Source organism: Homo sapiens, chromosome 5 (genome assembly GCF_000001405.40).
Source record: "Homo sapiens chromosome 5, GRCh38.p14 Primary Assembly".
Taxonomy (NCBI): domain Eukaryota; kingdom Metazoa; phylum Chordata; class Mammalia; order Primates; family Hominidae; genus Homo; species Homo sapiens.
This window is the reverse complement of record NC_000005.10, coordinates 178,786,315-178,813,420: the sequence shown is the minus strand read 5'-3', so window position 1 is coordinate 178,813,420 and position 27,106 is coordinate 178,786,315. Positions and strand designations below refer to the sequence as shown.

The following is a 27,106-nucleotide window of genomic DNA, read 5'->3' as shown; positions in this document are numbered from 1 at the left end:
GGGCAGCAGCAGTCGAGCGGTTCTACTGCCAGGTCTCCCTGTCTTCCTCCTTTTTCCGTCTGGTTGGCCTAGTGTCTGTTTTGTTTTGTTTTTTTTTTTCATCTTTATGTTTGGGTGTGTTCAACGTTTAGCTTCCAGCTATAAGTGAGAACATGATGTATTTGGTTTTCTGTCCTTGTTTTAGCTTGCTTAGCATAGTGGCCTCCAGGTCCATCCTTGTTGCTGCTGAGGGCATGATTTCTTTTTCAATCTACGTAGAATTTTGCGGTGTCTATGTACCAAACTTTAATAATAATAATCCACTGTTGATTTGCACATAGGTCCATCTCAGCATTTAGTTCTTGTGAATAGCAGTTCTGAAAACACAGGAGTGTGTGTGTCCTTTTGTTAGAAGCATTTGTTTTCCTTTGGGTAGATACCCAGTGGTGGGATTGCTGGGTCAGAGGGTAGTTCTTTTGTAAGTACTCTGAGTAATCTCCAGGCCACTTCCCACATTGTGAGAGCTAGTTTGCATTCACACTGAGAGTGTAGCAGCCTTCCCTGTCCTCTGCTACCTCACCAGCATCTTATGTTTTGACGTGGACGAAGGGCCATTCTGAGTGGCGTCAGAAGGTATCTCATTGTGCTTGTGAGTTGCGTTTCTCTGATGATTAGTGACGTTGAGCATTTTTTTTCATGCCTGTCAGTCACTTGTCTGTCCTGGCTTGACAAGTGTGCATTTACGTTTTTTGCCCATTTTTTAAATTGGATTATTTGCTTTTCTGCTTTTTCATTGAAGGTCATGGTAGAGTCTGGCTATAAGACCTTGGTCAGAAATAGTTTGGGAACAATTAATGGATCCTGTAGCCTGTGTATTCACCGTGATGGTGATTTCTTTTGCTGTGCGGCAGATGTTTCGTTTCTTAGGCTCGACTAGTTCATTTTGGTTTTTCTTGCCATTGCTTTTGGGGACTAAGCCATACAAATGGTTTACTAAAGCCTGTGTTGAGAAAGGTATTTCCTCCATTTTCTTGTAGGACTTTCACAGTTTGAGGTCTTCTTCTGAAATCTTTCATCCACCTTGAGTTAGGTTTTGCATGTGGCGAGAGGCAGGGCTCCAGTGTTACCCTTCTGCCAGCCACTCATCCTAGCACCGTTCATTGCATAGCGAGTCCTTCATCCATTGCTTATTTTTGTGGATTTTGTTGAAAGCCAAATGATTGTCGTTGTGCAGGGTTACTTCTGGGTTCTCTGCTCTGTCTAGGTGGAAGTGGGTCTGTAGCTTTGGGATGAAATTGGAAAGTGGGGAATGTGCCGCGTCTGACATAGTTTGGATTTCTCAGCCTGGCTTTGGAATTTCAGGGCATTTTGTGGTTGCATGAGAATTTTCACATTGTTTCTTTAAAAACAAACTTTCGGCCAGGCACGGTGGCTCACGCCTGTAATCCCAGCACTTTGGGAGGCCGAGGTGGGTGGATCACGAAGTCAGGAGATCGAGACCATCCTGGCTAACACGGTGAAACCCCGTCTACTAAAAATGCAAAAAAAAAATTAGCCGGGTGTGGTGGTGGGCGCCTGTAGTCCCAGCTACTCGGGAGACTGAGGCAGGAGAATGGTATGAACCCCGGAGGCGGAGCTTGCAGTGAGCAGAGATCACTCCACTGCACTCCAGCCTGGGCGACAGAGTGAGACTCCATCTCAAAAAAAAAAAAAAAAAAAAAAAAAAAAAAAAAACTTGCTCTGTAGTAAAGATGCACAACTAGAGGGTAGAGTGGGACATTTTGGTCCATGCATGCATTGTATCATGATGGAATCGGGATACTTAGCATTTCTTTTGCCTCATAGAATTATTTCTTTGAGGGGAGGACATTCAGAATCCTCCTTGTTAGCTGTCCTGAAAATTACCCTCTGATAATATTATCCCTAGTCACCCTGCTGAGGAATAGAACTGCAGGTTTTATTCTTCTCAAAAAATGTGGAACTTTGTACCCATTTTGATTCCCTGCCCAGGGCCCACCTTCCCCTCAAACCCTGGTAAGCACTAGGGTGCTTTCTAGGTCTATGAGATAAAGATTTTTAGATGCCTCATGAGTGAAGCGATGCAATGTTTGTTTTTCTCAGCGTAGCTCATTTCATTTACTATCATTTCCTCCAGGTTCAACCATGTGGCTCCCGATGACATGATTTCAGTATCTGTGTCTGGCTGAAGAGTGTTCCATTGTGAATGGACACTATGGTTTCTGTATCCCATCATCTGTGGATGGATAGGTAAGTTGATTTCTCATCTTAGCTCTTGTGAATAGTGCCACAGTCAGCATGGGAAGGCAGATACCTCTTCCATGGACTGATTTCTTTTGCTTTGAATGTATACCCAGCAGTAGCATGGCTAAATGAAATGGTAGTTCTTTTTTTCAATGTTTTGAGGAACCTCCAGCTGATTCCTGTAGTGTATATACCAGAATATTCCTACCAGTTGTGGCTAAGATTTCCCCTCTCTGGAAACCCACACCAGCATTTGTCTTTTATATATATGTTCACTTTTTGGTACTATTTATTTCAATTAGAGTGACATGGTATCCGAGTGTTTTTCGGATTCCCATTTTTTTCATAACTAGTGGTGTTAACCAAGTGTTTGTGAACTTGTTTTCAATTTTATGTGTTCTTTGAAGAAAAGTTTATTCAGGTTCTTGGCCCATTTGCCATGGTTTGGTTATCAGTTTCTCTGTTTTTTTTTTGTTTGTTTTGTTGTTTGCTAGTTAGTGGTGTCAGTACTATACCTTGTACCTTTTCCAGAACAACCCCTTATCAGCTGTGTGTTTCCCCAAACCTTTCTTCTCATCTTCAGGATGCTTTTTGTTTTCTTTATTGTTTCCTTTGTGAGTACGAGGTCTTCATTTTGATATAGTCCCACATGTGTATAATTCCCTGGTTGCCTGTGATGTTGGTGATTAATCAAGACAAAACATACTCACTACTAAGGCAATCTTTTGTCAATGATTTTTCTCCCGTATTTTTGTGGTTTTCTGTTTTCAAACTCTAAACATCCATATGCGTTGTTCTAAGTATACACACATGCTAGGTTTTCTTTTCTTTTTTTATTTTTATTTTTTGTTGTTGCTTTTTTTTTTAGAAGGAATCTGGCTTTGTCATCACCTCAACTGCCAGAATGGATGCAGTGGCGCGATCTCAGCTAACCTCAATCTCCACCTCCTGGATGCAAGTGATTCTCCAGCCTCAGCCTCCCGATTAGCTGAGATTACAGGCGGCATGCCACTGCATCTGGCTAATTTTTGTATTTTTAGTAAAGAGCGGGTTTCACCATGTTGGCCAGGCTGGTCTCGAACTCCTGACCTCAGGTGAGTCGCCCACCACAGCCTCCCAAAGTGCTGGGATTACAGGCGTGAGCCACTGCGCCTGGCCAGGTTTTCTTTTAATAGCTTAATGATTTCAAGTTTCGCGTATATTCTGCCATCCGTTTCAAATTGTTGATGGTGTATTTTGTACCACAGGTGTCCTGTCTCATTCTTTTGCATATGGATATCCAGTTTCCAATACCGTATATTGAACAGACTCTCCTTTCCCCATTGTGTTTCCTGGCATTATTCTTAAATATGTTTACTGTAGACGAATTTGGGTTTATTATTTGGCTCCCTCATTTTGCCCATTGCCCTGTGTTTCTGTGGGCATGCCTGTAACATATCGGTTGCATCACTGTAGCTTTGAGATGTAAATAGGAATGAGGTCTATGATGCATCCAACATAGTTTGGATTTGTAAAGATGGCTTTGGAAACCCAGGGCATTTTATGATTCCATGGGAATTTTGGTAGTATTTATTCAAACTTTGTTGTAATTGCTGTATAGTATATGTATACGACGAGAGGATGCAAGGGACATTTTGACATAGGTACACACATTGTAATGAACAAATCGTGGGATTTAACATTCCTATTACCTAGTATAGTTATTAGTTATTTGTGGAGAAAAAATTCAGTCTTCTCTACCTGCTATTTTAAAGATTATTCTAGGATATTGTGAACCTATGAACCCTGCTATGCAATAGAACACTGGAATTCAGTCCTCTCATCTAAGGGTATCTCTGTACTCATTTCAGCAGGTGTGTTTCTCTGAACACCTGCTTTGCCCTTCTGCTTGCTCCCATGCTGCAGCCTCAGTGGCATTCTGCTCACCCTTGCCATGCTGCCTTGAGCCATGGGAGGCTGCACAAGCTGTGGCCTCAGACTGGAACTCTCTTCTCCCTGCCTTTCCCACATAATTCCAATTCTCCTTCACATCCCTCCTCACGTGTCGCTTCCTCAAGGAAGCTTATCCCAGATCTCTTTCACTAGATCAAATTTCCATTTCTCAATTGCATCTGGCTGGCTGTGCTTCCTGACACTTGTCACGGTGACAGTTTTATAGATGTGTTGGTTATATAGCTCACCCCTGACTGTAAGACGACAGAAATTGTGTCTGTGTTGCCTCACCGTTGTATCTCCAATGCCTGGCATGTGGTTGAAGCTTAGTGAATCTTTATAAGTATGTAACTCTCTTCAGATACCTCTACTTAAAATTGCAATTCACCATGAAGCCACGGGAAAGAAGGATGGATTGCATGGAAGGTGAATCTGCTTTAAACAGATATCTCTCTTACAAATCCATGGGTCTCTTTCCTATAATACTGTGACCCCAACTAGTAGGGAGACAATGAAGCCAGAGAGTATCACAGTGGTTTCCTCCAAGGCTCTGAACCGCAGACCTGGACATACAGAAGCCAGAGTTTAAGGCAGGCCCTGAGCTCAGACTTTGGGTCTGTTTCCCACCTTATAATATACATATATATTTTTTTGAGACAGGATCTCATTCTGTCATCCAGGCTGGAGTACAGTGGTGCAATCATAGCTAACCGAAGCCTCAAACTGGTGGGCTCAAGTGATGATCCTATCTCAGCATACTGAGGAGCTGGGACTACAGGTCCCTGCCACAACACCCAGCCTTATTTTTTTGTAGACATGAGGTCTCACTCTGTTACCCAGGCTGGTCTTGAACTCCTGGCCTCAAGCTGTCCTACCACCTTGGCCTCCCAAAGTGCTGGGATTACAGGAGTGAGCTACCATGCTGGCCAGGAGTTCTGTATATATTCTACATACAAGTCTCTTTTCAAATATTTGACTTGCAAAAATATTCTCTCCTTCTATGGTTTGCCATTTCACTTTCTTGATGGTGTCCTCTGAAGCGGGAAAGTTTTGAGTTTTGTTGTAGTACAATTTATATATTTTTCTTCGTAGCTTATGCTTTTCTTGTCACATCTAAGAAAATATTGCCTAATCTAAAGTCACAAAGATTTGCACCCGTTTTCTTCTTAGAGTTTTATTTATTTATTTATTTATTTATTTATTTATTTATTTGAGACGGAGTCTTGCTCTGTCACCCAGGCTGGAGTGCAGTGGCCCGATCTCAGCTCACTGCAGCCTCTGCATCACGGCTTCCAGTGATTCTCCTGCCTCAGCCTCCTGGGTAGGTGGGATTATAGGCACATGCCACCATGCCCAGCTAATTTTTGTATTTTTAGTAGAGACAGGATTTTACCATGTTGGCTAGGCTGGCCTCGAACTCCTGACCTCAGGTGATCCACCTGCCTCGGCCTCCCAAAGTTCTGGGATTACAGGTGTGAGCCACTGTGCCCAGCCTTCTAGAGTTTTAGCTCATAATTTGGTCTATTATCCATTTTAAGTCAACTTTTGCATATGATGAGGTGGAGGTCCAACCTTATCCTCTTGTATGCGAATATCTAGTTTTCCAAGCATCATCTATGGAAAAGACTATTCTTTTCCCATTTGATTGTCTCAGCTGACCACTGTTGAAAATCAATTGACCATATAAGTGAGGCTTTATTACGGGACTCTGAATTCTACTCCATTGATCCATGTCTATTCTCATGTCAACACCACATTGCCTTGGTTACTGTAGCTTTCTAGAAAGTTTTGCAATCCAGAAGTGTGAGTCCTCCACCACTATTCTTCCTTTCAAGATTGTTTTGGCTATTTTGAGTCCTTGCATCTGTATGAATTTTTTTTTTTTTTTTTGAGGCAGTCTAGCTGTGTCACCCAGGCTGGAGTGCAGTGGTACAATCTCGGCTCACTGCAACCTCTGCCTCCAGGGTTCTAGCAGTTCTCCTGCCTCAGCCTCACAAGTAGCTGGGATTACACATGGCCCCCACTACGCCCAGCTAATTTTTTGTATTTTTAGTAAAGACGGGCTTCCACCATGTTGGCTGGTCTCAACTTCTGACCCCAGGTAATCCATCTGGCTTGACCTCCCAAAGTGCTGGGATTACAGGTGTGAGCCACCATGCCTGGCCTCAAGTTTGTTGAGTATTTTTATCATGAAGGGGCGTAGAATTTTGTCAAATGCTTTTTCTGCATCTATTGAAATTACCATGTGGCTTTTGTTCTTTATTCTGTTTATATGGTATATTGCATAAATTGTTTTTCAGATGTTAAAGCAACCTTGCATTTCTGGGATAAATCCCATTTGGTCATGGTGTATAATCCTTTTTATATATTGCTGCATTCAGTTTGCCAGTGTTATGTTGAGGATTTTTGCATATGTATTTATAAGAGATAGTGGTCTGTGGTTTTGTTGTAGTGTCTTGGGTTTTGGTGTCAGAGAATACTGGCTTTGCAGAATGAGTCAGGAAATGTTCTTCATTTTTCTGGAAGAGTATGTGAAGAATTGCTATTTCTGAGCATGGGCTTTTTCTGTGTTTAAAATTTTAAAATTACAAATTCAATATTTTGTTATGTTTCTAGTCAAGTTTTCTATTTTTTTTGAATCAGTTTTGGTAGTTTGTGTCTTTATAGGAATTTGTTCATTTCATATGTAAGTGATCTAATTTGTTGGCATATAGTTCATAGTATTTCCTTACAATTATTATTTCTGTAAGGTGCGTATTAATGTCCTCTTTTATTCCTGATTTTATTCATTTAAATCTTTCTCCTTCCCCCCACTTTTCTGATCATCTAGCTCAAGACTTGATTATTTTGTTGGTCTTTTGAAGCTCAAGACTTATTTTGTTGGTCTTGTGAAAGAACAAAGTTTTGGTTTTATTAATTTTCTCCATTTCTCTTCTTTAGATCACTTACTTTTGTTCTAATCCTTATTATTTTCTTCCTTCTCCTTGCTTTCGGTTTCATTTGGTCTTCTTTTTTTCCGAAATCTTCACGTGTAAAGTTAGGTTATTGACTTTCTCTTTATCTTTCTTCCTAAGGTTGGCGTTTACAGCTGTAGTTTTCCCCTAAGCACTGCTTTGACTCTATCCTATAAATTTTGATATGTTGTGTTTTCTCTATTGCTCATAGCAAAGTATTTTCTAATTTCTTTTGTGTTTTCGTCTCTGACCAGTTGGTTTTTGTTTGTTTTTTCTTGAGATGGAGTCTCGCTCTGTTGCCCGGGCTGGAGTGCAGTGGTGTGATCTCAGCTCACTGCAAGCTCCGCCTCCCGGGTTCACGCCATTCTCCTGCCTCAGCCTCCCGAGTAGCTGGGACTACAGGCGCCCGCCACCACGCCCGGCTAATTTTTTGTATTTTTAGTAGAGACGGGGTTTCACTATGTTAGCCAGGATGGTCTCAACCTCCTGACTTCGTGATCTGACTGCCTCGGCCTCCCAAAGTGCTGGGATTACAGGCATGAGCCACTGTGCCCGGCCATGAAGTCCTCGTTTAATCTTCAAATATCCAACATCCTCATGAGGCCCTAAGCTCCTGAGACCAAGGCAGGTATCTCTACCACCTGGGACTGTGCCAGCCACAGAGTGGGAACTTGGAAGATGTTTTCTGAATGAACAAATTCATCAGAAGAATACTTCCAAAAGAGGAAGAATACAGTGGCAAACTAATTTTAAGAAAAATGGGCCAGGCGTGGTCGCTCACGCCTATAATCTTAGCGCTTTTGGAGGCCAAGGTGGGAGGATCGCTTTTGTCTAGGAGTTTGAGACCAGCTTGGGCAACATAGCAAGACCCTGTCTCTGAGAAAAAATGTTAAGGAAAAATAGCCAGGCATGGTGGTGCACACCTGTAGTCTCAGCTGCTCTGGAGGCTGTGTTGGGAGGATCCCTTGAGCCCAGGAAATTGAGGCTGCAGTGAGCTGAGATCATACTATGGCACTCCAGCCTGGGCAACAGAGTGACACGCTGTCTTAAAAAAAAAGGGGGGGACGGGTCAAGTGGGGTGGCTCATGCGTGTAATCCCAGCACTTTGGAAGGCTGAACCAGGAGGATCATTTGAACCACCTGCTACAGGATATAAGCCTGGTCATGTTTCTCAATTCCTATGAGCTTTAGTTTCCTCTTTTATAGTAGATAATATCCATCCTACAAGTTAGTTGGGTGGGTTATAAACAAACTGTCTGGCACACAGTAGGCATTCAATAAATATTACCATAATTTTCACCATTATTATTTTAGAAGCCTGTTTCCACTCACATTGTAAAATTTTCCTGGTAAAAGCAAACAGTATTGCTTTCCTTTGTGTATAAGTATCATAACCAAGAGTGAAACACATTGAACAAAAGACAAATGCTTTGCCCCATATCAATTAATCCATTGAGGGCTGTCCAGCAATTTATATATAATGCTCACGTACATAGCAATCTCTGATGTGACTTATGTGAGCACAGGTACAGAGGCATTTGGTCTGAGGGATAGGGTAAGATAATCTAGGCAGTGGTGCTTTGGTTTATTTATTCAACAAATATTTTCTTTTTTGTACTAGAGAAAACTTTTTTTTTTTTCACTGCCCAGGCTGGAGTGCAGTGGCGCAATCTCTGTTCACTGCAACCTCCACCTCCCAGGCTCAGTGTTTCTCATGTCTCAGCCTCCCAAGTAGCTGAGATTACAGGTGTGTGCCAACGCGCCTGGCTAATTTTTTTGTACTTATAGCAGAGACAGAGTTTCAACATGTTGGCCAGGCTGGTCCCGAAGTCCTGACCTCAGGTGATCCACCAGCCTCGGCCTCCCAAAGTGCTGAGATGACAGGCATGAGCCACCGCGCCCGGCCGAGAAACATGTTGTGCTATTCTTAACATAAAATTGGAAGGCTGCAAGACAGCTTTTCAACGAATCTTTTCTGACCCTTACTCTGTGCCAGGCATTTTCTTAGGACATTAGATATAGTGGTAAATAAGACAGTTCCTACTTCCTTTTTTTTTTTTTTTTTGAGACAGAGTTTCGTTCTTGTTGTCCAGGCTGGAGTACAATGGTGCCAACTCAGTTCACTGTAACTTCTGCCTCCTGGGTTCTAGCAATTCTCCTGTTTCAGCCTCCCAAGTAGCTGGAATTACAGATGCCAGCCACCACGCCTGGCTAATTTTTGTATTTTTGTGCAGACGGGGTTTCATCATGTTGGTCAGGGTGGTCTCAAACTCCTGATCTCAAGTGATCCACCTGCCTCAGCCTCCCAAAGTACGGGGATTACAGGCGTCAGCCACCGTGCCTGGCTGACAGTTACTGCTTTCAAGGAGCTCAGTCTAATGGTGGGGAGGCAGAGAGCATTTTAACCTACTTACTGCTGGATTGTTAAGGGTCAATTCCAGGAGGTCAGTTGGCAACCATTGCTCAGTTCATGGTTTCGTTTGCATCCCTGACCTCACGTTCTTCTCGAACACCTTCCCCTCTCTCCTTTAGCCTGGCTGGCTCCTATTTCAAGACTCAGTGCATGCTCATGGGTAGGAAGAATCAATATCGTGAAAATGGCCATACTGCCCAAGGTAATTTATAGATTCAATGCCATCCCCATCAAGCTACCAATGACTTTCTTCACTGAATTGGAAAAAACTACTTTAAAGTTCATATGGAACCAAAAAAGAACCCACATTGCCAAGTCAATCCTAAGCCAAAAGAACAAAGCTGGAGGCATCACGCTACCTGACTTCAAACTATACTACAAGGCTACAGTAACCAAAACAGCATGGTACTGGTACCAAAACAGAGATATAGATCAATGGAACAGAACAGAGCCCTCAGAAATAATGCCGCATATCTACAACTATCTGATCTTTGACAAACCTGACAAAAACAAGCAATGGGGAAAGGATCCTCTATTTAATAAATGGTGCTGGGAAAACTGGCTAGCCATATGTAGAAAGCTGAAACTGGATCCCTTCCTTACACCTTATACAAAAATTAATTCAAGATGGATTAAAGACTTAAATGTTAGACCTAAAACCATAAACACCCTAGAAGAAAACCTAGGCAATACCATTCGGGACATAGGCATTGGGCAAGGACTTCATGTCTAAAACACCAAAGGCAGTGGCAACAAAAGCCAAAATTGACAAATGGGATCTAATTAAAGAGCTTCTGCACAGCAGAAGAAACCACCATCAGAGTGAACAGGCAACCTACAGAATGGGAGAAAATTTTTGCAACCTACTCGTCCGACAAAGGGCTAATATCCAGAATCTACAATGAACTCCAACAGATTTACAAGAAAAAAACAAACAACCCCATCAAAAAGTGGGCAAAGGATATGAACAGACACTTCTCAAAAGAAGACATTTATGCAGCCAAAAAACACATGAAAAAATGCTCATCATCACTGGCCATCAGAGAAATGCAAATCAAAACCACAATGAGATACCATCTCACACCAGTTAGAATGGTGATCATTAAAAAGTCAGGAAACAACAGGTGCTGGAGAGGATGTGGAGAAATAGGAACACTTTTACACTGTTGGTGGGACTGTAAACTAGTTCAACCATTGTGGAAGTCGGTGTGGCGATTCCTCAGGGATCTAGAACTAGAAATACCATTTGACCCAGCCATCCCATTACTGGGAATATACCCAAAGGATTATAAATCATGCTGCTATAAAGACACATGCACACGTATGTTTGTTACGGCACTATTCACAATAGCAAAGACTTGGAACCAACCCAAATGTCCAACAATGATAGACTGTATTAAGAAAATGTGGCACATATACACCATGGAATATTATGCAGCCATAAAAAATGACGAGTTCATGTCTTTTGTAGGGACATGGATGAAGCTGGAAACCATCATTCTCAGCAAACTATCGCAAGGACAAAAAAACACTGCATGTTCTCACTCATAGGTGGGAATTGGACAGTGAGAACACATGGACACAGGAAGGGGAACATCACACACTGGGGACTGTTGTGGGGTGGGGGGAGCGGGGAGGGATAGCATTAGGAGATATACCTAATGCTAAATGACAAGTTGATGGGTACAACATGGCACATGTATACATATGTAACAAACCTGCACGTTGTGCACATGAAGTATAATAATAATAAGAAGAAGAAGAAAAAAGACTCAGTGCAGATGTCACCTCCTCTTGAAGCATTCCCCATCTCCTGGCCCACCACGGGAGGCTCGCATTTCCCCTTATGCTTCTAGTATTCTGATGCTTTCCATGGACTTCGTGATTGTCTGTTTAGATGTCCATCTGCCTTCTACACTAGTAATTCCTCCAGTGCAAGGAAGATCAGCTTTTTCTTTAAAACCCCAATAGCAGCCACCCCGGCCCCATGAAATGGCTAGTCCCCACCCACTCCCTGAGGCCATTTTGCAATGCTGCCTCTACTCTCTTCATCCCATTTTGCCTGAATATGGGCAAATACAGATCAGAAGAAGACATGATATGAAATCAAACTTTATTGAAGACTTCAAATAATGGAAGCGACTTTCAGTGAGGCAAACAAGAACAAAAGAACATAAGTATCCATTATTTCACTCACATGTTTTCAAAACTTCTGTGTCACGCATGATTCCATTCCTTGGTAATACTGCTGCAGTAAACGAGATGAAGTCCCTACCTTCAGGTGCTTGCGTTCTTATGAAGGGACCAGAGCAAATGGGTACATCTGACAGTGATTGAAATCAAATGTGATTTCAGTGAGTGATAAGAGCTGTGGTTACGATGAATCAGGTTGATGAAATGGAGAGGCTCAGGAGTGGGGTCTTCAGTGGAGTGGGAGGAAAGAGATTTGGCCAGATTTTCCCCTTAAACCAGGGTTTGAAGCCTGCTTTGCCAGATAGTAGGTCCACCTCCCCCACCCCCACAGGAATTGAACTGTATGCCTTACAAATTTTGTAGGCAAACTCCTGTGAGGGTGGGGGGAAGCAAGAGCAAGTGCTGGAAAAGGGGGTGGGCAGTGGAAATCTCACCTCAGCTGCTGCCCAGATGGGCGTGAAGGAAGGTGTGGGTGCAACTTGCTGATGAGTGTGGAGCGTGGGGCCGCTAGACAGCTCGAGCTGGTGGGTCTGAATCACCCATCTTGCCTCACCTTTCCTGCTAAAGTGCACAGAACACCACACAAGCTGCCCGGTCAGCTCCTCCCCACATCCCTGGAGGGGTCAGTGAGGGATTTTTTTTTTTTTTTTTTTTTTACCTGAGATGGACTCTTGCTCTGTCTCCAGGCTGGAGTGCAGTGACGTGATCTTGGCTCACTGCAACCTTTGCCTCCTGGGTTCAAGCAATTCCCCTGCCTTAGCCTCCCCCGTAGCTGGGACTAGAGGCACGCGCCACCACGCCTGCTAATTTTTTCTATTTTAGTAGAGACGGGGTTTCACCATGTTGACCAGGATGGTCTCGATCTCCTGACCTCGTGATTTGCCTGCCTCGGCCTCCCAGTGTTCTGGGATTACAAGCGTGAGCCACTGTGCCTGGCCCACTGAGGGTTTCTTTGGGCGGTAACAGGAGATCATGTTCTAATTAAGTGTCATCTCTATGTTAATTACAATTCTCCTTCCCCAAGAATTCGAGACAGAGGGACAGAGGAGATGAGCTGGTTTTGTTCTGTTCTCTATTTATGCACAGTTCCACTTGTGGCAAATTGCAGTGTTTTCACTTATAAAAATATCTGATTCTTCTGATGCCTCCGAAAATGATCCAGCCGACGTTTTGCAAGGTCATGTGCTTCTCACACTCCAGTCAATGATGCACCTGTGACTGGTTTTTTTCTAATCAGAGAGAACTTTGCATTTTAATTCTATTATTGAGGAAGGAAGGTGGACTGAGTTTGTAATCCCAGCTACTGGGGAGGCCGAGGCAGGAGGATTGTTTGAGCCCAGAGTTTGCGATCAGTCTGGGCAAGAGGGAAACCATGAACAAAAGAGAAAGGGAGAAATGAAATAAATAAAGAGCTAGAGGCCGGGCGCGGTGGCTCACGCCTGTCATCCCAGCACTTTGGGAGGCCGAGGCGGGCGAATCACGAGGTCAGGAGATCGAGACCATCCTGGCTAACGTGGTGAAATCCCGTCTCTACTAAAAATACAAAAAATTAGCCGGGTGTGGTGGCGGGCACCTGTAGTCCCAGCTACTCGGGAGGCTGAGGCAAGAGAATGGTGTGAACCCAGGAGGCGGAGCTTGCGGTGAGCAGAGATTGCACCACTGCACTCCAGCCTGGGCGACGGAGCGAGACTCCGTCTTAAAAAATAACAATAATAATAAATTCAGAAAGGTTGACGTTGGTGCAATGCCGTCACCTGATTTGCAGTCCATACTCACAGGTCACCAGTTTCCCTCCCAGCAGTGTCCTAGCGGCTCAGGCCTCCTCGGTTGTCAGGTCTCCTTAATGTCTTTGGATCTGTAGCAGTTCCTTGGGCTTTCTTTGTCTTTCATGACACTGACATTTTTGAAGAGCTCAGGCTCCTGGTTTGGCAGAATGGCTCTCTTTGGGTCTCTCTGATACCTCGTCGTGGTTAGGTCCAGATGATGCAGCCTTGGGTAGGAGCACCTTGGAAATGACGCGTCCTTCTCCTTGGATCTGTCGGGGGGACATGATGTCAGTGTCTTTCGTTTTCATGATTTCACTGGGCCACCTTCAGAAATAAAATACCTGGGTCAATATGGTGCTTTGCTTTTCTTTTTTTTGAGACGGAGTCTTGTTCTGTCACCCAGGCTGGAGTGCAGTAGTGCGATCTTGGCTCACTGCAACCTCTGCCTCCCAGGTTCAAGCGATCTCCTGCCTCAGCCTCCCGAGTAGCTGGGATTATAGGGGCCCGCCAGCACCCCTGGCTAATTTTTTTTTTTTTGTATTTTTAGTAGAGACGGGGTTTCAGTGGGTTGGCCAGGCTGGTCTCGAACTTCTGACCTCGTGATCCACCCGCCTCAGCCTCCTAAAGTGCTGGGGTTACAGTCATGAGCCACTGCACCCGGCCGAAAGTGGTGCTTTTCTAGGAACCGCTATCACATCTTCCTTTCTCTGATCCTCCTCTACCCCTAGGCTTGATAAAAGAGCTTCTTTCTGACTCGGGTTGAATTCTTACCTCGCACTGGGACTCCTTCTGGGCCAGTCTCAGGGAGTCAGGACGCTTGGTCCACGCCGTGGCTCTTGCCCTCATGCTGCTCCAGGCTCTCCTCTGGGCCAGCTCTTCAGTGAAAGGGTGGCCTGCCCCTCCACACCCGTGGGTGTTTCTCGTCAGGTGGAAGGAGAGACTTGAGAAAAGAAAGACGCAGATACAAAGTATAGAGAAAGAAAAGTGGGCCCAGGGGACCGGCGCTCAGCATACGGAGGACCTGCGCCCGCACCAGTCTCTGAGTTCCCTCAGTATTTATTGATCATTATTTCTACCATCTCGGAGAGGGGGATGTGGCAGGACAATAAGGTAATAGTGGGGACAGGGTCAGCAGGAAAACATGAACAAATGTCTCTGTGTCATAAACAAGGTTAGAAAATGTGCTGTGCTTTGGTGTGCACATACATAAAAATATCTGGTGCATTAAAGAGCAGTATTGCCGGCAGCGTGTCTCACCTCCAGCCTTAAGGCGGTTTTCTCCTATCTCAGCATATGGAACATACAATCGGGTTTTACATGGAGACATTCCATTACCCAGGGATGAGCAGGAGACAGATGCCTTCCTCTTATCTCAACTGCATAGAGGCCTTCCTCTTTCACCAATCCTCCTCAGCACAGACCCTTTACGGGTGTCGGGCTGGGGGACGATCAGGTCTTTCCCTTCCCACGAGGCCGTATTTCAGACTGTCACATGGGGAGAAAACTTGGACAATACCTGGCTTTCCTAGGCAGAGGTCCCTGCGGCCTTCCACAGTGTTTTGTGTCCCTGGGTACTTGAGATTAGGGAGTGGTGATGGCTTTTAACAAGCATGCTGCCTTCAAGCGTTTGTTTAACAAAGCGCATCCTGCATAGCCCTAAATCCATTAAACCTTGAGTGGACACAGCACATGTTTCTGCTAGCACGGGGTTGGGGGTAGGGTTACAGATTAACAGCATCTCAAGGCATAAGAATTTTTCTTAGTACAGAACAAAATGGAGTCTCTTATGTCTACTTCTTTCTACATAGACACAGTAACAGTCTGATCTCTCTTTCTTTTCCCTACACTTCTGCTCTCCCCATAGCTCATTTCCCCGTTTCTCTCAGTTGGCTCGACCCCCTGATCTCTGTCCCCTATGAGGCTGGGCTAGCACCCGTCCTGGAACAGTCAGGCCCTGGTCTTTTGTTCTTTGACTCTCTTCTCAATAAGGGTCACTTCTCTTTTGCCCGAAGCTGGTGGGCCTCCATGGTGCCCTCGATGGCCAGGGTACTGAGAACTCAAAGGCAGGCAGGAGTGTCAGGGTTTTTCTCTCCAGGCTACAAGCCACGCTCAGCTTTTGGGTGGCAGAGGGACGTGGGGGCATGGCTCATCACCAGGGAGAAGGGGGAGCCTCCAAAGTCTGCTTCTGCCAGGAAAGAAATTGGGGATCTGCTGGGGCTGCTTCTGGTAGCGTCTGAGTGGCATGTGGACCAGGTACCCTGGTACTGTACGCCTAATAGATAGCACCCGCTGTCCCCGTCTCCCCCGCAGGGCACCCTCATCCAGCATCGGACGGAGCACCTGCTGCACAGCAACATGACCAGCGGTGACATCCTTCTGTGCTACATCACGGTAAAGGCTTCCACAGGCACCAGCCTGTGCTACATCCAGTGAAGGCTTCCCCGGGTTGCTGCCCTGTGGTATATACAGTGAGGGCTTCCCCGGGCGCCAGCCCATGACACCCGGTAAGGGTTTCCCTGGGGTACTTGCCCGGGCTACACATGGTAAGGACTTTCCTGGGGTGCTGGCCTGTGCTACACACAGTGAGGGCTTCCCCAGGATGCTGACCCGTGTTACACACTGTAAGAGCTTCCCCAGGGTGCTTGCCCAGGCTACACACAGTAAGGGCTTCCCCTGGGCGCCGGCCCGTGCTACACCATGGTAAGGGCTTCCCCGGGGTGCTTCCTGTGCTGCACCTCAGTGAGGGCTTCCCCAGGGCACAGTGTCAAGATGGCCCCGCTCCTCCGCCCTCCCTGCCTCAGCAGCATGGAGTCCACACCTTGAAACCACAACCCCAACTTCAGGTGTTAGAGGGCTTCCTGCCCTTGTTGAGCACTGAAAGACAAAAGGTTAGGACAAGTTAAAGGAAGTGTGTTTTACCCCAGAGGGGAACTCAAAACATCAGGAGCTTCCAGAATGATCTAGGTGCAGGTCCTGGGCGGTGCTTCTGTGCTGAGTTTTTATGCCAAGTGGAATGCCACAGGCACGTGCCTGACCTGTGAGGTCAATGCCCAGGGCCCTTCTATGCCCCTTGTGAGAGACTCCCCGGGACCTCACACAGATGCAGGAGGGGGACAGACCCCTGGGACCTCACACAGATGCAGGAGGGGGACAGACCCCTGGGACCTCACTCAGACACCGGTGAAGGGGACAGACCTCTGGGACCTCCCACAGACACCGGTGAAGGGGACAGACCCCTGGGATCACACGCAGACTCAGGAGGGGGGGACCTTAGGTGTGTTTTTGACGTGTGACTGTGGAGAGGCCACTCCCGGCTCTCTGTGACCAGCTGTGAATTAACATGGTTCTTGGGACAAATGATTCAGGTTTCTTTCAGCTGCAGGGATTTGCTCTACAACCCACCCCATCCCCAATCCCTAACGTAGAATACTGGTGCCAGCCGCACCCCCACCAATGAGCCCTCGTGTGCCGGGTCCTTTCTCAGATGTTTCAGAGCAGGAAGCCCGGGCAGCAGCATCAGTGCAGCGTCCTTATGGAGCTGCAGAAAGCTCCCAGCAGCTACGAGGATGCAGGGTTCGGCTGCCTCCCTGGGACACCGCAATTTAAAATGTCAGGGTCTTGTATTGAGAGGAAAGATACAATGGAAAGAACTCAAAAATTTGGAGCAGTTTTCTCAGAGGCATTTCATTTTTACTGGAAGGATCCTGCTCACTAAGAATCAGGCAGTTAGATTTTTCCTTGGAGCAGCTTGACCCCACCTGGATTCTAACAGCAGCCTCACTGGCAGTTTCACATCCTGCAGCCCTGGGCCCAGCCTGTACTGTGACCCACTCGTCCTCCCTCCCCACTTCCCTCCCTCCCTCCTTTCCTCTCCCTTCCTTTCCTGTTTTCCCTTTGCTTTCTCCCCCCTTTTTCCCTTTACCTTTCATCTTTTCTTTTGATAGAGTCTCACTCTGTTGCTCAGGCTGGAGTGCAGTGGTGATCATGGCTCACTGCAGCCTCGACCTCCTGGGCTCAAGTAATCCTCCCGCCTCAGCCTCCAGGAGTAGCTGAAACCACAGGTGCACTCCACCACGCCTGGCTAATTTAAAAAAAAATTTTTTTCTAGAGGCCAGACATGGTGGCTCACGCCTGTAATCCCAACACTTCGGGAGGACGAGGCAGGTGGATCATTTGAGGTTGGGAGTTTGAGACCAGCCTGGCCAACACGATGAAACCCTTTCTCTACTAAAAATACAAAAAAGCCGGGCATGGTGGTGGGCGCCTGTAATCCCAGCTACTTGGGAGGCTGGAGTGGGTGGATCACTTGAACCCAAGAGGCAGAGGTTGCAGTGAGCCGAGATCATGCCACTGCATGCCAGCCTGGGTGACAGCGAGACTCCGTTCTAAAAGAAATAAAATTGCTTTTCCGTAGACACAAGGTCTCACTGTGTTACCCAGGCTGGTCTCAACCTCCTGAGCTCAAGTGATCTTCCCACCTTGGCTTCCCAAAATGGTGGGATTACAGGTGTGAGCCACAATGCCTTGACTCAGCTTTCAGCAGCTTTGTTGGACAGTGAGGTGGCCAGGAATGCTGTGCTGCTCCGGGCTTCCAGGCACTGGTTTCCCCTTTGGTGAATAGTTCCTTAATAAAAGAAACTGAACGGGTACGTTGAGACCTGTTCAGAAAGCAGCTCCATGGCCAGGCGTGGTGGCTCATGCCTGTAATCCCAGCAGTTTGTGAGGCTGAGGCAGGAGGATCCCTTGAGGCCGGGACTTCAAGACTAGCCTGGACAACAAAGAGCGACCTCATCTACAAAAAATAAGAACATTAGCTGGGCGTGGTGGCTCACACCTGTGGTCCCAGGTATGTGGGAGTCTGCGGCAGGAGAATCACTTGAGGTTAGGAGGTTGAGGCTGCGGTGAGCTGTGATTGTGCCACTGCACTCCAGCCTGGGTGACAGAGTGAGACCCTGTCTCAGGAAAAAAGAAGAAAGCAGTTTGACTAGAGACCTTGCCTGTGTCCTCGTGTCCTTGTGCCCTCTGCCTCTGTGAGTGGGAAGTAGGTGTGGGTGGGGCTTCCCAGGGATGTTGGTTTTGGGTCACTGTCGCCTACGTGAATTGGGGACAGCCCTAGGCTGCGGCAGGCGGGAGGCAGGTTCCTGACGTAGGCTAAACCACGTCGTTCATGCCGTAGGTGACCTGCTGGCCTGGCGCTCTGTTTCATCCTGAGTCCTGCGAGCTGTTGTCCAGGGGTTCTGACCCAGGGCTGAGTGAGAACCACTTGGGGTTGTCACATGGCCACCGCATCCCCGCCCTCTGAGATTCTGACCTTGGGGCTGTGGGGCGAGGCCCAGGACACCCAGCCACGTCCGCTCCAGTCCTCCCAGGCTGGGCGCATCCCCGGTGACCTCCTTGCCTCCATGGTGGGGTTGGGGTGCTCCCTGTTGCCCTCCAGGGCCAAGATTCCTGCTGGAACTTCCCCCTCACTCTGTCATGGTATTTGTTTCGCTCCAGGACCACCCATGGAGTCTCCCTGTCTAGATGAGGGTGCTGTGAGTGTATCTGCACCTTCTTGCCTTAACGTTTTTGAAATTAATAATAGTTTTCAATTAAAATAAAAAAACTTAAATCTTCTTGGATATGGCAAAAATTTCAAGCAGCCCCAGTAGGATGTGTGGGGAAAGGCTGGGTGTCTCCCAGGGCCCAGAGGCAGCCATGCCAATCATTTTCATTGCCTCAGTGTGGATCGTTGCCCCTGTAGGCGTGTGTGTGTGTGCGCACGTGTGCGTGCATGTGTGCGTGAGTGCGTGTGTGCGCACGTGTGTGTGAGTGCATGTGTGCACGTGTGTGTGTGCATATGTATGGGCATGTGTGTGTGAGCGTGTGTGTTTACATATCTGTCCTTTCCTCTGGACTGACAGGGTTATGCTGCATGCTTGCTTTGTATGAACAATGTCTTGGAGACGGTTCCGCGTCAGCCCAGACCTCCTTCTTTGGAGACGGTTCCGCGTCAGCCCAGACCTCCTTCTTTGGAGACGGTTCCGCGTCAGCCCAGACCTCCTTCTTTGGAGGCGGTTCCGCGTCAGCCCAGACCTCATTCTGTTTCATGGCTGCTTAATTGCTTCCCTCATCCTGCTGGGGCCAGGCGCTGTTCTGAACGTCTCTTGTGAGTTCATTAGCTGCGTAGTGGTGTGAGTAGCATGTGTGCACCTCCTGTGGCCTTTCTTGTGTCGATAACACCTACATTGCTTTGTCTCTGTCACCAGCAAGTGAGCAACAGACGTTCTGTGACACGTCTTCATGCACATGTATGAATATGTCTGTGCGATCCATTCTTAGATGTGGAGTTGCTGGGCCAAAGTGTCATGAGTTTGAAATGGGCAGTTAGCACCAACCTGTGGCTCCATCTTAGGTGGTTTTCCAGGGACACAGGAAGCTGAGGGGCAGCTGCGGGGGGAGCTGCCTGGTGCCTGCTGAAGCCACACCCCTCCTGTCTTTGCAGGTGGGCTGGATGATGCGGAACGGGATGGTGTCCATTCTGGCCACAGGAGTGGCCGTGGTCTTGTACGATGGCTCCCCCTGGTGCCCGTGCCCAACATGCTCTGGGACCTGGTTGACAGGATAGGGTAGGTACCAAGATGCTGTGCCCAGAACAAGGGATAGGCAGCACCAGGAAGGCTCCTTGGGATCGGATGCAGAGCCGTGGCTGCCTTCTACCGAGCTCGGGGCGTCTCCGGAATTCTCTGCTTTTGTTGATGTCCCCTCTCTAAGAGGAGGATGTGGGAGGTGCCAGAAGCGGAAGGTGAAGCTGTTAAGGAGGGAGGGACACCAAGGACCAGGGCCTTTCTCTCTAGAGTGAGGGCTGAGAAAAATCCCACGGGCAGCGTTTGATCTCATTTCTTTTAAAAATCTATTTCTATTTTTAAGATTATTTTTTAGTAACAATTGCGTATATCGTAAGGCGCACAACGTCGTATTTTGCTGTGTATGCACGTAGTGAAATGAGGACTGCAGTCAGGCAAATTCGCATTTGCATCTCCTCACACAGTTACCTTTTTGTGTTTAGCAATGAAAGTGCCTGAAATCGACTCTCAGCAAAGTTCCAGCACTTGCACAGTATGGCGTTGTCAACTGCAGCCATCGTGCTGCGCATTGATCTTATCTCTGTAGTTGTGGCATTTCCCAGCAAAAGGAGGAAAACTGAGGGTCACTTAGAGTTCTGTTTTACACACGTTCTTCAGACTCAGGAGTGAGATTGTGTTCGTCCATTTTCATACTGCTATGAAGAAAAACGTGACACTGGGTAATTTATAAAGAAAAAGAGGTTGAATGGACTCAGAGTTTCACATGGCTGGGGAGGCCTCACAATCATGGAATAAGGTGAAGGAGGAGCAAACGGATGTCTTCCATGGCAGGAGGCAAGAGAGCATGTGCAGGAGAACTGTCCTTTATAAAACCATCAGATCTCGTGAGACTTATTCACTATCGAGAGAACAGCACGGGAAAAACCTGCTCCCATGATTCAGTGACCTCCTATGACACATTACAGTTCAAGATGAGATTTGGGTGGGGACAGCCAAACCATATCAGAGATGAAGTGAGGTGAAGGCTGAACGCCCAGGGGAGATGTGTGGATAAGTTCATGACGGGTGGGTGCAGAACCTGTGACTGGGGGGCTGCGTGGCACTTGGATTTCCTGCCACCTTTCTCCTGAGCCTATTGGCAGGAGGAGAGCCCTGCTTGTCCCTAGCTGTCCCTTGGGGCTGGCGGCCACCTGTCTTCCAGGGTTCTCCTCACCTCATCATAATAAACTGAGTGCTTCCTGGGGCCCCTGGAGGTGGTCACTTTTTTCCTGTAGCCCTGGCTGGATGGTAGACAGGAATCCCATGAGCAGAGGCGGGAGCCAGTTAGGAGAGACACATCAGGTACCCTCCCAGTGCCCGAGAATTATCCAAATGGGGATGGGTACGGTGGTCCCTGCCCCCACCCCTTATCATCATCATCATCATTAGAAGGCATCAGAACATCTAGTCTCATCAGCACTTTGCTGATGAATTAATTACAGTCAGCTGGCGTGTTCTGGCCACTATGGTCTTGATCACCCTTGGCCTAATGACAGTGTTTCCAGAGATGATAATGTAGAAGTTGGCCGGGCGTGGTGGCTCACGCCTGTAGTCCCAGCACTTTGGGAGGCCGAGGCGGGCAGATCACGAGGTCAGGAGATCGAGACCATCCTGGCTAACACGGTGAAATCCCGTCTCTACTAAAAATACAAAAAAAAAAAAAAAAAAAAGCCGGGCATGGTGGCAGGTGTCTGTAGTCCCAGCTACTTGGGAGGCTGAGGCAGGAGAATGGCGTGAACCTGGGAGGCGGAGCTTGCAGTGAGCCGGGATCATGCCACTGTACTCCAGCCTGGGCGACAGAGCAAGACTCCGTCTCAAAAAAAAAAAAATGTAGAAGTTGCCAGAAGCTCCAGAAACAACTGTGCTCTGATGTCCTCATTACTCTACATCTGATTCTGTTCATGAGGGAATAGGAGCCACTCATGTTTGTAAAGCCTTGGCTTTTAACATTTTAAATATAACTTGGCCTGGCCTGGGTGATATTGAGATCCTGACATTTGGCTCACAATCTTAGTGAGGAAGGCTATTTCCTAATGAGATTGTTTCCAGCGAAGGTTAATCAAATCCCCGGGAACTTGAGATGGCTCTAGAATCTTTACCTTTTCACCCTTACACCAGGCTCCAGGTGGCGGAGCTTTTGTTGTTGTGTGTGGGAGGCATGCACTGGATCAGGGGTTACTGGAGAGGGATGGAGAGGGAATGTACATCAGTGGGGTCTAATGCTAATGAGATCCAAGGATGAAGGGTCCCAGGGAGACCCTGCTGTGTGTGCATGGGTGCGAGCCCGCGTGTGTGCACAAGTGCGTGTGAGAGTGTGTGTGTGTGCATGGAGTGTGATAATGTGAAAGGGAGGGTGTGAGTGCGTATGTGCGTGTGTATGTGCACATACATGTGTGAGTGCAAGTGAGTGCATGAATGTGTGCGTGGGTGTATGCGTGTATAGGTGTGGGTGTGTGTGTGCATGCAGCTGTGAATGTATGCTGTACATGTGGATATATGTGTGCTTTGTGTATGTGTGCACACATACATGAACGAGCGTTCACAGCACGGTGGCTGGTTCCATGCCGTCATCAGGGGCCCTGGGTTGGTCAGAGCACCAAGGCTGGCTGAGGTGTGGTCATGCTGTCGCAGGGCTCCCTGTGGATGTGGCCTTTACCCTGCCTGGGAGAGCGTCTTGTGCAGTTTGGCGAGGCAGGTGTGACTCGGTACCCAGGCAGGGGCTGCGGGTGAGGGGCTGTCAGAAGGATGCAGGCTTCAAGCCACTGCCCTGGTCGCCACTGGCAGTGAGAGGGAGCCGGTGCTGGGCGGGGCAGGGTGCTTCAGCTCAGCTCTGTCCACCTCCTGGAAACTGAATGTTGTGCAACAGTTGAATGCAGTCATGGCAAATCCTGTTATGTGACAAGAGGAGCACAGGGCAGGCACAGTCCTCACGATGCTGTCTCAGGGCCTCTGATTAAATCCCATGTCTGTTAGTAAATGTGGAGTGAGATGTCTATTGATTACTGGCATGTCAGCTCCCAGCCTTATTGACACTTTTGATAAAAGAGCATTTATTTTGTAGGCACAGACAAGATAATTTTTTTTTTTTTGAGACAGAGTCTTGCTCTGTCGCCCAGGCTGGAGTGCAGTGGTGTGATTTCGGCTCACTGCAAGCTCCGCCTCCCGGGTTCACGCCATTCTCCTGCTTCAGCCTCCCGAGTAGCTGGGACTACAGGCGCCCGCCACCACACCCAGCTAATTTCTTTTTGTATTTTTAGTAGAGACGGGGTTTCACTGTGTTAGCCAGGATGGCTACGATCTGCTGACCTCGTGAGCCGCCCGCCTCGGCCTCCCAAAGTGCTGGGATTACAGGCGTGAGCCACCGCGCCCGGCCCAGACAAGATAAGACGAATTTTATTCTTCATGGAGGTGTGTTGCTAGGCTCCAGTGCGGGGAATATTCTGGATAGAATTAGGGCCAGGACCCCGGGGACTTTGCCCAGGTTTGCTGGTAGTGGAGCAGGTGTGGATGTTGTCTGGAATGCCCGGTGTTGTCCGTCTCTGAATGGGGCCATCGTCTAAGATGGTTCTAGAGGTCAGGGGCCTTGCAGGCCAGCAGGCTTGTCCTTCTAAGGAAGTGCATGGGTTGGGCAGTGCTCTGCTGGGATCTACACCCCGTGTATGCTGGGCTACGTGCTCTGTGCCAAGCTCCCTACTGGGTCCTGGGGGCCACACAGCAGCGACCTGGGGCCAGCACTCTGTCCTCATGGGCTGGTAGTGGGAGGGGGAAGGTAAGGAAATGAGAGAGGCTGATCTTGGGCTCTGAGGAGTGCTGTCAGGAACTAGCTTTGCAGGACTGGGGACATGTGCTTCAGGCAGAGGGAACCACCAGAACCCAGGATCGGAGCTGGGCCTGAGATGCATGTGTTGTGGAAGCTGGAAGGGGCCTCCTGGGGCCTGAGTGCAAAGGGCTGATGTGAGACTGGGGGCAGGAAAGAGGGGTCAGAGAGGGAGGGACTTTTGGGACTGCTTGGAGGGTGAGTTTTTCCCTGAGTGGAATGGAACAGCAGTGGACGCTTTGCATCAGGAGAGCACTGTGATCTGGTTCATGTTATTAAAAGGGCAGTGTAGACTGGGTGTGGTGGCGCACGCCTGTAATCCCAGTTACTTGAGAGGCTGAGGCAGGAGGATCACTTAAACCCTGGAGGCGGAGGTTGCTGTGAGCCAAGATCACGCCACTGCACTCCAGCCTGAGTGACACAGAGACTCTGTCTCAAAAAAAAAACAAAAAACGGTGGTGTAGCACCTGAGTGGAGAAGAGAGTGTTGCAGGGGCAGAAGCTGGGAGACTCAGGTTGGTGGAGCCCACAGGTGCGCTGGTGACCCTGGAGGGGCGGCCTCTAGGCTGATCCACACCCGGCTCTGCCCAGGGCTCCAGGCAGTTGCAGGCACCGGGTCCCAATGGTTTAGGGCCCTGACGCTGTCTCATGCTTCGGTGCAGCGACCCCTACAGTACTCGCTAGAAATAAGACGTGGCATGAGTGCCCGCAGGTGAGCTCCCATGCTTCCGTGAGCTGAATGGTGTTGCATTTCCTAACTGTCTTAGGTGCACCCTGGAGGTAGATGGGGGACTTTGCCGTTTCTTCAGACAAGCAGGGCTGTGACTCCCAGGTTGGAGAGCACCACCTCCGAGTGCTGGTGGAGCCTCACCCAGATCGGGGTGTGCAGAGTCTTGCCTGCACTAGACGTGCTTTAGAACCACAGAGAGCCTTCGAGTTTTCTGGGAGTGGGCAGTGGGCGGATAAGCTACATAAAACCCGTGTGGTGTTTGGGCGTGGCTGTTGGAGAGCTTTGTACCTGTAGCTGGAGGTGGTCACTGTTGTCCAGGGCCGGGTGATCACCATCAGAGTCATGAGGTCTCCATCTTCTGTTATTGATACTTGCAAAGGGAGTGACACCTTCATCCTTGGCTGTGATGTTGAAGTAGTTAATCAAACTCTGGGTTTGTGAAAGAAGCATGAGGGATGGTGGGAGGAGCTAGTCTCCCTCTCCCAAAACTCTAGCCATCTCTAGGGTACAGTGGTGGCTTTGTCAGTGGCAGGGTGGGTCTCGGAAAGTAAAGGAATGAAGGTGTGGGAGATGGAAGGACTAAGGTAATCTGCCTCCTTGCATGGAGGGAGACCCACCCTGCCATTGCCTTAGCCACGCCCAGCCAGTTTTGAATTCCAGGACATTCTGTGCCACGCTGCCTCACACCTTCAGACAGCGAGTTCCATGGCAGTCTTCCCTCCCTGGGACGAGTCTCTCCACCGAATGTGCGGGGACTGAGGTTCTACTGCCCATAGTGACACGGAACGGTCTTAATCTCTGGGCCCCAAAGAGAAAAATGTTCTTTAGTTGGGAAGATCAGGTTTACATGTGAAGGGCTGCCTGGCTGGAAGAGAAGCTGAGGAAGGAAATAGCGTATTAGACGGTGCTGCCCTTGAAAACGCAGTGATGTATATTCAGCAGCGTGTGTCGTTCGCTGAGCACAAACGTTCATAGAACTGTGGATTCTAAACGTTCAAGAAGAGCTGCACTTTTCTAAATTTCATAGAAATGTGAACTTGTTTAAGAAAAAGGGATGGGTAGAGGGTTTCACCTATGGCACACGTTTTAACAAAGAATTCTCCCAGCACTTTGGGAGCCAAAGCAGGAGGATCACTTGCGCCCAGGAGTTGGAGACTGCAGTGAGCTGTGATTGCACCACTGCACTCCAGCCTGCGGCACCAGAGGGAGACGCTGTCTCAAAAACAAAACAAAACAAACAAACTAATAATAATTCTGTAGCGCTGTCTTCATTGGTGAATGAATGTGTGAGGATAGAATTTGAGAGGTCTTAATTTTATGGCCTCCTTTGGTCCCCCAAGATAAAACACACTGCAGCTGCGAAAATGATGGGTTCTTGTGAACAACTGTTTTATGTGAAGCCTCATGGTAGAGGGAGCTGGCCCTGCATACTGGTATCAGCGTAAAGAACAGTCAGGCGTGCCTGTGAGCAAGGCAGGGCCGTGACTCAGACTTCAGTAAACACGAAGTGTGAGTTCAACCCAGAAAAATGCTGTCTCAGGTTTTGCAGACTTGTCAGAAATAAATCACCAACTTTAGGAAGCTTTGGTGCAAGAGCCTTGAAGAATTTTCTTCAAGGTGTTTTCTTTCCTGCCTGCATCCTAGCATCCTGGTAACCAGGGCGAAGTGGCTGTCGGTGCTGGAAGAGAAGGCCGTGAAGCCGGGTGAGTGTGCCTCTTTAATACTCATTCCCTGTACTGCCAATCAAGGCAGTTAAATCCATCCTGTTTCCTGCTTGTGAGTGAGGCTTCAGGAGCTGGGTTTACTTTTAATCTTTTGGTGATTCTTCACCCCAGTGGAAACCCACAGTCTCCAGATGCCCCAGACACATCCAGCCATTAGAAGTGCAAGGATGAAAGTATTTGTTTAGATGGAAGTATACTGATGGACATTGAAACGTGGTGATGATGAGTGAAATAATCAAATTGCAGAAGATCGTGCTCCAGACACGATCCTGTCCACCGCCTCCCTGCTGAAGGCCTAGAGCAACGAGTGTGTCTACAGGTGTGTCAAGAGCAGTGTCCTCCTGGCCTTCATCTCACGTATGGCTCTGCAGGGGACAGACCTCCCAGCCATCCCCGCCTCTGGAAGGCAGACCGGCCCCATAAGTATGCACACCCCCTGCCCAGTGCTTGGTTTCATCCCAAGGACACGGTCTACGGGGCAGCCAATATGCACAGTCCCTTCTCGTTATCTGAGGCAGCAATGCTCCACAAAGTCACTGTGAACACCGAGTTAGCACATATGGAACCCTTGCCCCGGGGGAAATATATTTATACACACACCTCTCACATCGATTATAGTCTTAAAATCCAAAACAACACATCTTGCTTCTATTTTTTTATCTTGTGAAAGAGAAAATGCAGTTCAGAGGCGTTCAGTGACTTGCCCAAGGCCACTGTCAGGTGCCAGAGCTG

At 48.0% G+C, this 27,106-nt stretch overlaps 1 pseudogene across 2 annotated transcripts in view; it reads left to right on the top strand.

Annotated features, from left to right (window-relative positions):
• AACSP1 (acetoacetyl-CoA synthetase pseudogene 1) overlaps positions 1 to 27,106 on the top strand; it is a 53,575-nt pseudogene that overhangs the window by 5,015 nt on the left and 21,454 nt on the right. For both annotated transcript variants that reach the window (NR_024035.2, NR_135095.1), the window contains exons 3-4: positions 2,135 to 2,247; positions 15,810 to 15,890. The product of NR_024035.2 is annotated as an acetoacetyl-CoA synthetase pseudogene 1, transcript variant 2 (transcript). The remainder of the gene's footprint in view (positions 1 to 2,134; positions 2,248 to 15,809; positions 15,891 to 27,106) is intronic.